General features: G+C 36.8%; 1 protein-coding gene and 1 long non-coding RNA gene across 22 annotated transcripts in view; one reads left to right on the top strand and one right to left on the bottom strand.

Moving 5' to 3' along the window:
- Positions 1–14,158, top strand: part of CATSPERT (catsper channel auxiliary subunit tau) — a 131,758-nt gene that overhangs the window by 115,538 nt on the left and 2,062 nt on the right. For 11 of the 21 annotated variants that reach the window (XR_007069662.1, XM_047443510.1, XM_047443509.1 and 8 more), the window contains 2 exons: positions 7,672–7,746; positions 8,882–12,472. The exons of 4 other annotated variants lie outside the window; for them this stretch is intronic. Coding sequence is in view for 16 of the 17 variants with exons in the window: in XM_047443510.1 (XP_047299466.1) it covers positions 7,672–7,746; positions 8,882–12,472 (3,666 nt within the window). In the remaining variant the exon portion in view is untranslated. Of the gene's footprint in view, positions 1–7,671; positions 7,747–8,881; positions 12,473–14,158 lie in introns of those variants that run through there. 6 more of the 21 variants (NM_001168216.2, NM_152525.6, XM_006712333.4 and 3 more) reach the window with 2 other exon arrangements.
- Positions 953–8,952, bottom strand: LOC124906113 (uncharacterized). Its single transcript, XR_007088052.1, has 2 exons — positions 8,863–8,952; positions 953–3,008 (listed from the first exon to the last, which is right to left on the bottom strand). It is a non-coding gene; the product is annotated as an uncharacterized LOC124906113 (long non-coding RNA).

Genomic DNA, 14,158 nt, shown 5'->3' with positions numbered 1-14,158 from the left:
GGATTGCTTAAGGTCAGGAATTCAAGACCAGCCTGGGTAACAAAGCAAGACCCTGTGTCTACAAAATAAATTTTTAAAATTAGCCAGGTGTGGTGGTGCCCCCCTATAGTTCCAGCTACTCAGAAGGCTGAGGCAGTAGGATCACTTGAGCCCAGGAGTTAGAGGCTACAGTGAGCTGATTTTGCAACTGCACTCCCACTTGGGCAACAGAGTGAGACTCTGTCTCTTAAGTTAAATTTTAAAATTACCAGGTATACCAGCAATGTGTGCCTGAAGTCCCAGCTACTCAGGAGGCTCAAGCAGGAAGATCATTTGAGCCCTGGGGTTTGAATCCAGACTGAGCAACATAGTGAGACCTAGTGTCTAAACAATGAAATAATAAAATGTATTTTTAAAAAATACTGGGCATATAAAAAAGCAATAAAATATGACTCATTATGTAGGGAAAAATCAAATAATAGAAAAAGATCCTGAAATGACATCAATGATAGAACAGAATGTTAAGAGAGCCATTATAAATATAGTTCATACGTTCAAGAAGGTAGAGGAAACGTGAGTATGATGAGGAAAAAAATAGAGGGTATAATTAACCCCAAAGGAATTTTTAGAGATAAAAAATATCTGAAATAGTAACCTTTAAGAGATTAACAACATATTAGATGCTGCAGAAGATAAGATCACTGAACCTGAAGACAGAGGATTAGGAGCTACACAAAAATGAAACACAAATAGAAAAAAAAAACAACACAGTATCACTAACATGTGAAAATACAAAGTGGTATAACACACATGTAACTGGAGTCTGGGAGGGGAACTGAAAAATGATTTGAAGAAAATGGTCAAAATATTTTTAAGTTTGATGAAAACTATAAACCCACATATCTGAGAAGCTCAATAGATTCCAAGGGAATGAACCTAAAGAAAACCATGCTAATAATCACATTACTAAGAATCAATGATAAAGAGAAACCTTTACTCAGAGGGGCAAAAGGCACATTATTTACAGATTTAAATAAGAAATATTTACAGAGGAACAAATAAAAACAGACTTTTTTTTTTTTTTTTTTTTGAGATGGAGTCTTACTCTGTCGCCTAGGCTGGAGTGCAGTGGCACGATCTTGGCTCACCACAACCTCCACCTCCCAGGTTGAAGAGATTCTCCTGCCTCAGCCTCCTGAGTAGCTGGGATTACAGGCGTGTGCCATGACACCCAGCTAATTTTTGTATTTTTAGTAGAGACGGGGTTTCATCATGTTGGTCAGGCTGGTCTCAAACTCCTGACCTCGTGATCCTCCCATGTCGGCCTCCCAAAGTGCTGGGATTACAGGCATGAGCCACTGCACCCGGCCCAGACTTCTTATTAGACTATGAAAGGCAGAAGACTATGGAGTGACATCTTTATAGTAATGAAAGAAAATGAAACCTGTTCACCTAGAATTCATGTTCAAAACAGTAGAAACGTTTTTTGGAGTTTGTATTCACCCTTTCATCTGCTCCTAAGTACAGCAGCACTGTTGGTCTTGAGCAGCAGAAGCCTAGTTCCCAATTCCCTTTATGGAACTGGAGGGAACATAGTTTTATTTGCAAATTATTGTATATGTCCGTTCTAAGCTGGCTGGAGGATACCTGAAGGATGGACTTGCTTGTCTCTATCTCACATAACATGGAATGAGGGCAGGAAAAGCAGTGAGCAGTATTCATAAAAGCTATCTGGGGACTAAAAATCCACAGATAACTGGGTCAAGAGATTAAATCTAATTTCTTCACTTATAAGTCTATTCAAATTGTCTATTTCTACTTGTGTCAGTTTTGGTAGTTTGGCTTTTTTAAGAGATGTGTTTATTTCATCTAAGTTATCCAACTTGTTGGTGTACAAATGTTCATAGTATTCTTATAATCCTTTTGGTTTCTGTAAAATCAGTAATAATATCCCACTTCCATTTCTGATCTTAATAGTTTGAGTCTTTCTTTTTTTCTTAATCAATTTAGCTATAAAGGTTTGTAAATTTTGTTGACCTTTACAAAGAACCATCTTTTGGTTTCACTGATATTCTCTATCGTGTTTCTATTCTCTATTTTATTTACCTCCACTCTAATCTTTATTGTTTCCTTCCTTCTTTTAACTTTAGGTTTAGTTTGCTGCTCTTATTCTAATGTATGCATTAAGGAATGTATACATAGTTCCTTAACATAAAGTTAAGTTGTTAATTTGAGATCTTTCTTTTTTTTTTTTTTTTTTTTTTTTGAGATGGAGTTTCGCTCTTGTTGCCCAGGCTAGAGTGCAATGGCGTGATCTTGGCTCACTGCAACCTCCACCTCCTGGGTTCAAGCAATTCTGCCTCAGCCTCCTGAGTAGCTAGGATTACAGGCATGTACCACCATGCCCAGCTAATTTTGTATTTTTAGTAGAGACGGGGTTTCTCCATGTTGGTCAGGCTAGTCTCGAACTCCCGATCTCAGGTGATCCGCCCACTTTGGCCTCCCAAAGTGCTGGGATTACAGGCATAAGCCACCATGCCCGGCCTGAGATCTTTCTCTTTTTTAGTGTAAATGCTTATAGCCATAAATTTCTCCCCTTAGCATCGATTTTTCTGTGTCCCATAAGTTTTGGTATGTTGTGTTTTCATTTGTCTCAAGGTAGTTCCTAATTTTTCTTGTAATTTCTTCTGTGACCCATTGGTTTTTAAAGAATTTTTTGTTTAATTTCCAAATGTTTGTGAATTTTCTAATTTTCTTCTATTACTGATTTCTAGCTTTATTCTACTGTAAAAGAATAAATTTCAGTATGTGTAGAAGTTTTTCAGTTAAGAATCATGTTAAACATGATTTAACATGAGTTAATCATGAGTAACATGTTAAGCATGAGTAACAAAAACTTAGAAACAGTGCCTTAAATCGTAATATTGTGGTTTCATGACGTCATCAGGGGCCCAGATTCCTTTTCTTTATGGACAGCCATCTTCAGCATGAGCATGTTACTGAAGGGTAACACCAGATGGACTTTATATCTCCAGGCATCACATGTATTCCAGGCAGGAAGAAAGAAAAAGACAAGTTCAGTTACATACTTATCACCTAAGTCGGCCTCTGTGTTTTTGTTTTGTTTTTTATTTTTTGTTTTTATTTTGAAACAGAGTCTCACTCTGTCACTCAGGCTGGAGTGCAGTGATGCAATCTTGGCTCACTGCAACCTCCACCTCCCGGGTTCAAGTGATTCTCCTGCCTCAGCCTCCCAAGTAGCTGGAACCACAGGCGCGTGCCACCATGCCCGGCTAATTTTTTGTATTTTTAGTAGAGACAGGGTTTCACCGTGTTAGCCAGGATGGTCTCGATCTCCTGACCTCGTGATCTACCCACCTCGGCCTCCCAAAGTACTGAGATTACAGGTGTGAGCCACTGCACCTGACTGTCGGCCTCTGTTTTAAGACACTCAGAAGAGAGAGTTAAGATACTCTCTCAACAACTTCCAATTATGTCTAGTTGGCCAAAATTTTGTCACATGGCCACTCCTGTCTGCAAAGGAGGCTAGAAGATGTAGCTCTTTTGATAGGGGACATTTCTGCCCCTTAAAAAAATGTAAGTTCTTGAGATAATACATTTTAGGAAGGCAACTAGCATTTTCTGTCACAGGAATCAAGAGACTACTTAGGATACCACTGCTTGGGGAAACATGATGGTGGCTTGTTCTATAGTAGTAGGGGGGTTGATGGGAAAAAGTGATTGGATATATATATATCATATATAAATTATATATATTATATACTCAATATATATTAATATATAAATTATATATATATATAATTTTTTTTAGACAGGGTCTCACTCTGTTGCACAGGCTATAGTGTAGTGGTATGATCATAGCTCACTGCAACCTCCCACTCCCAGGCTCAAGTGATCCCCCACCTCAGCCTCCTGAGTAGCTGGGACCATAGGCTGCACCACCACACCTGGCTAATTTTTTGTATTTTTTGTAGAGACAAGGTTTTTCCATGTTGCTCAGGCTGATCTCAAACTCCTGGACTCAAGTGAGCCACCTGCCTCAGCCTCCCAAAGTGCTGGGATTACAGGTGTGAGCCACTGCAACTGGTCATACTTGATCTGTTTTGAAGGCAGCAGCCACAGGACTTAATGCTGGATTAGTTATGGAAAGGAGAAGGAGAGGAATAAAAACCCTTAGGTTTCTGGCCTAACAATTCCAGAGATAGATGCATCATCAACTGAGAAGAGGAAAAACAGAAAAGCTAAGGGTTTTCTTTTTTGGGAGTGTGGTGCCTAATCTAAAATTGTATTTTATATACATTAAATTTGAGATAATTATCATACAGCTAAAGAGAACTCAATATCCTCTTGAATATCTCTGAGCTATTTAGAATCTTTTCCAAGGGTCACCCTCCTCCTACATTTGTCAGAAATATTTCTATTTATGCTGGAGTTAGTTCCATTTGTTCTTATTGATTCTTCACTTACATGTATCAATTTTTCTCATATATATGGTAAACTTCATTTTATGTTTATAAATGGAGGGGTATGTTGATTATATAGGTATACTCTGTCTATGTGCTGGGCAGGCTTCCCTGGAGGGTGTGTGGGGATGGAAGATGGCAGGTAGGATGGCTGAGGACTCTACATTTCCAAAGAACCAGTGTGTTTCCTGGATGGAACTCCCTTTCCTTTTTTTCAAATCCCCTTTTAGGTATCTAATTTGGAAGTGTGAGTCTCAGCAATCGTTACTCTGCTTCCCTGTCAAGGCCCAAAACTTATATCTCTGCTTAGGAATATGCCATATTCTCCTTAGAGAATGGTTTTTTGATGTTTGGGAGAGTGACTGGGAAAAGACAGTGCTGCCAGCAGTGTTTGCTCTGTGTGCACAGAGAAAGAGAGGGGTGATAACGAAGGGTCCAAGAGGTCCAGCTTTTCCAAATGCAGCTCTTTAATAACTATGGACATTCCCATGATCTGATTTTCTTTGTGTATGCTGAGTGTGATGGTTAATATTAGGTGTCAACTTAACTGGATTGAGAGATGACTAGAGGGCTAGAAAAGTATTGTTTCTGGGTGTGTCTGTGAGGGTGTTGCCAGAGGAGACTGACATTTGAGGTGGTGGACTGGGAGAGGAAAACCCACCCTCAATGTGGGTGGGCACTGTCCAGTCAGTGCCAGCTCAGCTAGAACAAAGCAGACAGAGGAAGGAGGGATGAGCTTGCTTGCTGAGTCTTCTGGCTCACTCCCTCTTCCCTTGCCAGATGCTTTGCTTCCTCTCCTCCTGCCCTGGGACATCAGACTCCAGGTTTTTCGGCCTTTGGACTCTGGGACTTGCAGTAGCAGTCTCCAGGGGGCTTTGGGGCATTCAGCTACAGACTGAGGGTTGCACTGTTGGCTCCCCTGGTTTTGAGTCTTTTGAACTTGGATTGAGCCACTACTGGCTTCTCTCTTTCTCCAGCTTGCAGATAGCCTATTGCGGGAATTCACTGTGTAATCGTGTGCGCTATTCTTCCTAATAAACTCCCTTTTATATATACATATATCCTGTTGGTTCTGTCCCTCTGGAGAACCCTGATTAATACACTGACTTGGAATGTATTGCTTCTCAGACCCCCCTGATTTTACATCTCTAATAACTATTGTTTAAGGTTATGGTTTTTCTGATTGGGTTTTTCCATTAAGTCAATTATATCTGCTCTCATATTTTCTGTATTTTCTCAAAGTTCTAGATCCTGGTAGCTCACCTTACTGATTTCTAGTATTGCCATGGTTCTTTCTTTTTGAAATAATATTTTCTGTTAATGTACTGGAACCTTGGGAGAAAGGAGAGTAGACTCACATGTTCAGTCTGCCATCTTGAAGCTCCGGTATTGGTTTGTTTTATTGTCTTTTCCTAGCTTCCTAACATGAATACCTAGAGCATTCCCCCAATATTACTTTACTGAAGCTTTTTATTTGTGAAAGAATTATATGTTCATCTAATCAATAATACCCAGTTAAACGGAGTAAAAGTTAATAGCATCCTCCTTCCTCTCCTCCAGAGCTACTTTCGTGTGAAAACAATGTAAGCATTTTGAATCCATTCACACATTTGTCCATGCTTGTAATAGGGGGAATTTTTTGTTTGCTTTGTTACAAAAATGAAATTATATTTTTCTACTACTTGTTCTTTCACTTGTTTATCATACATGTTTCTTTTTTAAATTTTTCTATTCATTTAAAGCAATGAGCCTTCAAATGTTATAACGTAAACTGTGTTTAAGAGAGATTTGGGAGAAATTTAAGCAAAGAAAAACAAAAGGAACAAAAGAATAGGTATGGAAGTACAAGATGTATGTCAAGAATTCAGAGTTAGACACATTTGGCTGAAGGAGAGGAACGATACTGGCAAATATTGAGCAACTTGCAGAGACAATATAGAGTTGGTATGTGAGGACAATGAGTGGGAAGCCATTGAGGCTTTAAGAATAGGGTCATTTATTAACTGCTTAATGTTAATTAAACCTTAAAATAACCTAAAAGTATCTCTAATAAAAATGTTACTCATTGAATTGTTATTTTAATTAATTTAGTCCATAGTGAACCCTCTACAGACTAAAGGAGATAATGTATAGGAAAGTCATTTGAAGTACCAAGTGTTCTGTGAAGAGATGTGTCACGTTTTCTCTCTGTATGAGTTGGCAGTGTGGATGCACATTATGATGCTTCTAAAGCCACTCATTCTCCCTCACTGCTATCTGGATTGTGTGGGGGACTGAGTACCCAATGAAAACTTTGGACACCTAGGATTTAAGCTACTAGTCATCTGGGTAACTTGGGACAAGAAACTTCAGCTTCAGATTCTGTGTAAAATAAGAACTAGAACTAGATTGTCTCTAAAATACTTCCATCTCTAAAAATTCAATGGTTCTGTGATCCTGTAATTGTTCCCACACATCTTGATTTAGATTTCTTTAGGGAGTTTTAAATATTCATTTAACAGTGACAGGTTGATAATCATTGAAAATGCTATCTATGGCCGGGCGCGGTGGCTCACGCCTGTAATCCCAGCACTTTGGGAGGCCAAGGAAAACGGATCACTTGAGGTCAGGAGTTCGAGACCAGCCTGGCCAACATGGCAAAACCCCGTCTCTACAAAAAATACAAAAATTAGCCAGATGTGCTGGCACATGCCTGTAATCCCAGCTACTCAGGTGGCTGAGGCACAAGAATCTCTTGAACCCAGGAGGCAGAGGTTGCAGTGAGCCAAGATCATGCCACTGCACTCTGGCCTGGGCAACAGAGCAAGACTCTGTCTCGAAAAAATAATAAATAAATAAATAAAATGCTATCTCAATATAATATGAGCTGCCATGTATTGTGTAAAGGCATCTCACAGCCTTTTAAAAATCAGATTACATTTCTTCTGACAATTCTATTTTATTTTTACTTTTGTTTCTGCTTGAAGTTGCTGTGCATTATTTTGACTTTACAAATTCAATAGGGTGACTATTATAATACCAAAGAATCCAATATTTCACATATATAATATGTATATAGATTTCTTTCATAATTGGCAAGGTATAGTTGTTATGATAAAAATATTTAGGTTTAAAAATTTTATATCTCTAATAACTATTGCAAGAATAAAATGATCTTGATATTCTTATATTACAAGTAATCTAAAATTAGAACTTCTTTTTTTATAAGGTGGCTTTTTCACCAAAAGAATATAATTCACCATCTTTCAGACCAGAATATATAGAATTCAAACCAAAATTTCAGGTGAGTCCTGAATTATTCTATCCCAGTATCATTATACTTAATTACTAGGTTTCTTCAATACTTTAATTCAATAGTTCTAAAAAGCTACTCATTAGAAACACCTGGCTACTGTAAAAAATACACATTCCCAGGTCCACTTCTGACCTAATGAATCTCAACTTGGAAACAGAACCTGGGAATTTGTATTTCTCAAAAAAAAAAAAAAAAAACCAAGGGGATTCTTAATTTGTCATCTTGGTATCCACTAGAATTTGAAAACCAGTTACAATAAGTTGCATCCATTAAAAATAATTTTGAACTACTAAGTTGAAATAAAATAAGACAAATACTAGGCTGATTCTTTCACATTTTGCTTTTTTTAGTTAGATAACACAGAAGTACGAAAAAAGAGTTTCAATAAGAATTTTTATTTTGAAGGCTGTTTCAATGATTAGAAGAGCTTGATCCCAGAGCTAAAAAGCTGCTTATGAATATTACACTGAATTTTTACTGTAATCCTGAGTTTTCTATATGGTTCTCCCTCATCCATTTCTGAGGCATTATACAGTATGCATCAAAAAGCAAGATGAAACTGTGACATGTTAAGGACTGGGTGGAGCTCATTATCATTGTTGAAACTCTCAGACTTAAAGGTAGATGATATATGCCCCCAAGTCAGTTTTTAGAGAATATTTATGATACTTTTCATGAGTTTCATTTCAGTACTTTTCACTACTTGCTTGAATTAAAAAAAAAAAATTTCCTACATTGCTATGAATGTAGCAAATATTTAGGTAAATGAGACTTGGATCCTGATGTTAGCCATTGTCTAAGGAAATGAAGCTAACACCAGAAATTGCGTTGTTAAAAATAAACTATTTATGGGTGGCTTTTTAAGTATTTAAAAATATTCCAAGTAGCAAAAAGCACTTGGACACAAAATAGTGTCAGAATTAAGAATTTGAAATTTTTCCATTAAAATTTTTATTTCAATTTCAAATATTTTAAAATAATTAAAGTTGATTTTCTCCCTTTGTGGAGGGTAGGAGACTGAATAGATACATTGACAGATTGCTCAAGGAAAATTAACTAGAAAATATATGATAAATTCAAAATCATTGCTACCAAATGTCTTACCTTTTTTTTAATATTGCAGTTTCAGAAATTCAACAAGAACGGTTTTGATCCTTTTCTAAGGAATATAAACAAAATGTCAGTCAGAAAAAGAAAAGATCAAGATATATACAAATATAGAAATATCTTAGGTGCAGAGGTCATAGAGCATGAAGACCAGGATCCTCCTTATCCAGCACAATCAAAAACTGCAGGACCTGCTAATACAACCTGGGCCCATGACCCTAATATCTTCACAACAAAGATGTTAGAAACTGAGAATAAGTTAGCCCCTGATCCTACTATCAATACAATAAAGGGTTTAGATACAAAGAATAGTTTAAAAGAAAATCTACCAAATGTATCTTTACCAAGCATCAAAGGAGAATCATCAAGGGCTGGAAATGTACAGGCAAACACATGTCACCTCTCGAAGTCTTTAAATTTTACCCCCCATATAGAATATTTAAAACAATCAATGATACTCAAGTCAATTTTAAGTGAAAATCTGCAAGACCTTTCAGACAAATTATTTTCTAAACCAGAAGTTAGTATGAACAGTGAAGCAAGAGAGAAAAGTAGTTCTCCACTTCTAAGCATTCATGATAAATCATCAAGTAGTATGGAAGACAACGTATTGGAAAAAAAACAAGATTTAAACAACTGGCTTTCAGAAAAAGACATTTTAAATTCAAAGACTACTTTAAGTCAAATAATTAAAAATATTCCTGCAGATTCATTTTCAGAAGGTAGTCAAATAATTGAAAATATTCCTGCAGATTCACTTTTAGAAGGTGGTCAAGTAATTAAAAATATTCCTGAATATTCACTTTCAGAAGGGGGTCAGATAATTAAAAATATTCCTGCAGATTCATTTTTAGAAAGTGGACCAGGACAATCTCCAGAGGTAGAAGAACATGTCTCTAAAAAACACTTCGAAGCTGATGAGAGAGATTTTCCAATTAAAAAAAATAGTAGTACCAAAAAGAAACATTTAATAAGCGAAGTACCTAACTCCAAATCAGGTTCAAGTGGCACTGTACATGACTACATTATGAGGCAAATATTCACTGCACCAATATTCTCAGAATTGGAGATAGAAGTGAAAGAGCCAAGTGAAACACCAATGAACTTGGAAAATCAATTACCTACACCTTGGAAGAGAAGTTTGTCATCACATATTCTATTTCATGAAGAAAATGCTGATGAAATAGAATTGCCACAGCCCAGATCTGCTACAAGCCAGATAATACAAGCATTTCCTATAGATACACTTTTAGAATCTGGGATAATCAAAGTGATAGAATTAGATAAAGAACACCATAAGAGTTCTTTGCTGGGTACGGGGATCACTTCTCCTAAAGGAAACCTAAAGGATTCCCAAGAGTATTATTCAGAAATCAGAAGCGAGACAGAACCTCTTTCTGAGCAGAGTATACCCATCATTCCCAAAGACACTACTTCTGTTAGTAGAGCTGAATTTATACAGGAAGACCAAAATATGTTCCCACAAGATTCAAGTTATTATTCAATAGCAAATAAAGAACTGTATTTGCCAAGAAATGGTCAGAGGCTTTGTAAAGACAAAAATGATCTCAGTTCTACTTTAGAAAGTTTAACTAACTCATTAATGGATAAACTTAGTGAATCAGATGAAATAATGTTAAAATCCTTTTTAAAAAACATCTTCAATGTTTTTTTCAAATATAATCATTCTGAAAGAAGAGGACAACCAGAAAAAGAATTAGAAAGACTAATTCAACCTTCTTTTACAAGTGACACAGAACACCTTGAAGAACTCCAAGAGGATTTTGATAAAGCAGACAAATTAGACAGAAAACCTATTTTGAGTCCAAAGTTGCGTGTGTTTCTAGAAGAACTCTCAGAGTCAGAAGTAAAACATTTAAAATCTGAATTAAGTAAACAAATCCAGCATTACCTTGTAGAAAGACTTTCAGAATCAGGACATATCACCAAGGAGGACTTACCAAAAATCTATCAAAATCTGTATCTGATGAATGAGAAAGCAGAGCAGAAAGGGCCAAACAGTTTTCAGGGGAAATATTCTGAAACTGTGAAAGAAATCATGTCTTTTGTCAACAATTTCAATCATCATTTCATAGATAAACATTTGGAAATAAAGCTGAGATCTTTTTTAAAAGAGATTCTCCAAAACTATTTCCTAAAAAACATTTCAGAAAGCAGTTTATTTAATGAGACAGCATCTGAGACTATATACCCAAACATATCTTCTCTAAGGACTAAAAGTGTCTCAATATCTTTTCATGAACTAGAACAAGATATTTCAAAGGGGAGTTTTGGTAGAAGGTTTGAAATAAACATGAAATATCCTTTAAGTAAATCTCTACAAAACTATCTGATAGCTTTATCAGAAAATGAATTATTACATCTAAAAGCTGATTTAAGCAAACACCTCCAGAGTCTTTTTATAGAAAAACTTTCAAAATCAGGACTAATGACAAAAAAGCAATTAGAAGGGATCAACCAGCATATAAATTTGCTTAATTCTAGTTCTATACCATTAAAATATATAAAAACACATTTACCTTTTAGAGATGACTGTCACTTTGTGGAGAAGCATTCAGAAAAGCAAAATAAATATTCAAGAATTGTTCAACAAACCACTTTACAAACGGTTTCTGAGGATAAACTTAGAGAAGCAGAATTGATTCGAGAGAAAGAAAAGAAATATTTTCCCTTACAGAATTTAAAGGGAAATTCATCTTTAATTAAGGAACAGAAAAGTTATTACACTAAGGAAGAAGCTAAAACACCAAGTTTAATCAAAGTACAACCTTCTTCCAATGAAAATATCCAGGCAAGTCCATTAAGTAAGTCATCAGAAATACTTACAGATATACTGCTTAAGAAACTAAGGAAAGAACATGTATTCACGCAGCTTCCTCAAGCAGAAAATTCTGTTCATAAAACAGAGATTCAAGACCCATATAGTTGGGGTGGTAAATCAAAAATAACTCAATCAAAAGCTTGGTGTGAAAAGACACTGAAAATGAAGTCCCTTGATAGAAAGGAGCATGTAAACATCTATAAATGGACTGTTCAGGAAAAACCTGAAGCAGTATTAACATCGTATCCAAGAATTCCTAATGCCAGAATGCCAAGGGAAGATGAGTACTTAAACAGAATCACTTTCCCTTCCTGGCAAAGTAGCACTTTAACTCATTTCAATACAGAGACTGGGGAAAAATCAAAATTAGAAGACCAGTATTGTCAGACATTGAAAGGAAATAATAACAATAATAAAAAGCATTTAGTAACATTTGCACAATACAAAAAAGAAATACAAACTCTTTATATAAAACCAGATGAAATTTGCAGTGAAAAATGTGCCAAGTTCCCTGAAATACAGTCATTCCAATATAAGGTTGTAGAAGATGAGAAAAACTTGAAACCACACCTCTTCCCAGAATTATTTAAGATAGAAGATCTAAAACCCAAGGTCCGAAAAGAAAGAGACCGTGTCGCCCAACCAAAAAAGTCATTTAACAAGATAGTCAGGATACTACCAACCACACTGCCCACCACAAGAATTCACCTAAAGAAGTCTGTTCCAAGGACACTGCTTCACTGGACTGCAAGAAGAACTATACATGTAATAATGTTTTTCTAAGTCTTCTACTTCTGTATTTGGCAAAGTTCTGGCAATAATTTAGGGTGTATATATCTGCATCCAACTGTGTGTATAACCTTAATTACCCCCAAGACATACAGACCTCCAATTTAAAAATTCCTCTGAAAGACCAGGTGTGGTGGCTCACACCTGTAATCCCAGCACTTTGGGAGGCTGAGGCAGGTGGATCACGAGGTCAGGAGATCCAGACCATCCTGGCTAACATGGTGAAACCCCGTTTCTACTAAAAATACAAAACATTAGCCGGGCATGGTGGCGGGCGCCTGCAGTCCCAGCTACTCGGGAGGCTGAGGCAGGAGAATGGCATGAACCCGGGAGGCGGAGCTTGCAGTGAGCCGAGATCGCGCCACTGCACTCGAGCCTGGGTGACAGAGTGAGACCCCGTCTCAAAACAAACAAACAAAAAAATTCCTCTGAAACTTAAATATCACCTCACCTGATTCAAAATACAATCACAAAATCAGCGGGACTGTTAACACACCTACTACCTTTTTATGAAATAAACAGTGGCACCCCTCCCCCAACCCACCATCTGGGACATGAATTAGAAAAAGGTGCCCTCTTCCTCTGGGCAGATTCTCCCAGCTGACACAGCCGAGAGTCAGAGTACACAGTCCTGATTGTGGAAAACTGGCTGGATTTTAGCCCTGACTAAAATTAGTACAACCATTGGCTGTGGCCAGATACTGTGGAAACATAGCCGACATTTTCTTTTCATAGAGATATAACTACAACTATTAGAGGTTTTTTTTCACATAGCGAATTATCTTTGCTTCAGTTAAACAAATATGAAGCTCCCATGTGCCAGTTATCTGGCTAAAAATTAGGGATATGCAAAATTTACAATCCATTGGATTATGAATTGCAAAAATTTAACTTCTAGTCTTTTCTTTTTTCACCACCATGCTATATCATGTGCTGAGAAACTTGAGAATTCAAATATATTTTTAATATTAACATAAAACAATTAGGAGGCCAGGCGCGGTGGCTCACGCCTATAATCCCAGCACTTTGGGAGGCTGAGGCAGGTGGATCACTTGAGGCCAGGAATTTGAGACCAGCCTGGCCAACATGGTGAAACTCCATCTCTACTAAAAGTACAAAAATTAGCTGGGTGTCGTGGTGCACGCCTGTAATCCCAGCTACTTGAGAGACTGAAGCACGAGAATCGCTTGAACCCAGGAGGCAGAGGTTGCAGTGAGCCAAGATGGTGCCAGTGCACTCCAGCCTGGGCAAGAGAGCAAGATCAGTCTCAAAAAAAAAAAAAAAATTAGGAAAGTAAATCTGCGACTAGACTTTATACAAATCATTCTAAAGCAAATTTAAAATCTAGGAATGGAAGGGATTTTTAATTTTCTGAATCACTGGTCTTCCCTATAGTATGCATAACAGGCATGACCCATAATTGGAAAAACTGCTAAGTAAATATGAGTAAGTAAAACTCATATTAAATTGATACTTTGATGTGCATAATTCTACCTTTGAGAAAATCTAATTTCTGCGTAATTGCTTTGAATTTATTTTCCACAGTAAAGCAAACTATTAGCTTTATAGTAACAGGGTAAATATTATATAGCTATATATTATACACACTATATATTATACAGCTAAATATTAGCTATATAGTGACAGGGTATAAATATCAGC

The sequence above is a fragment of the Homo sapiens genome, chromosome 2 (assembly GCF_000001405.40).
Source record: "Homo sapiens chromosome 2, GRCh38.p14 Primary Assembly".
NCBI lineage: Eukaryota > Metazoa > Chordata > Mammalia > Primates > Hominidae > Homo > Homo sapiens.
The sequence above is the reverse complement of the archived record's forward strand: the minus strand, read 5'-3'. Positions and strand labels throughout refer to the sequence as shown.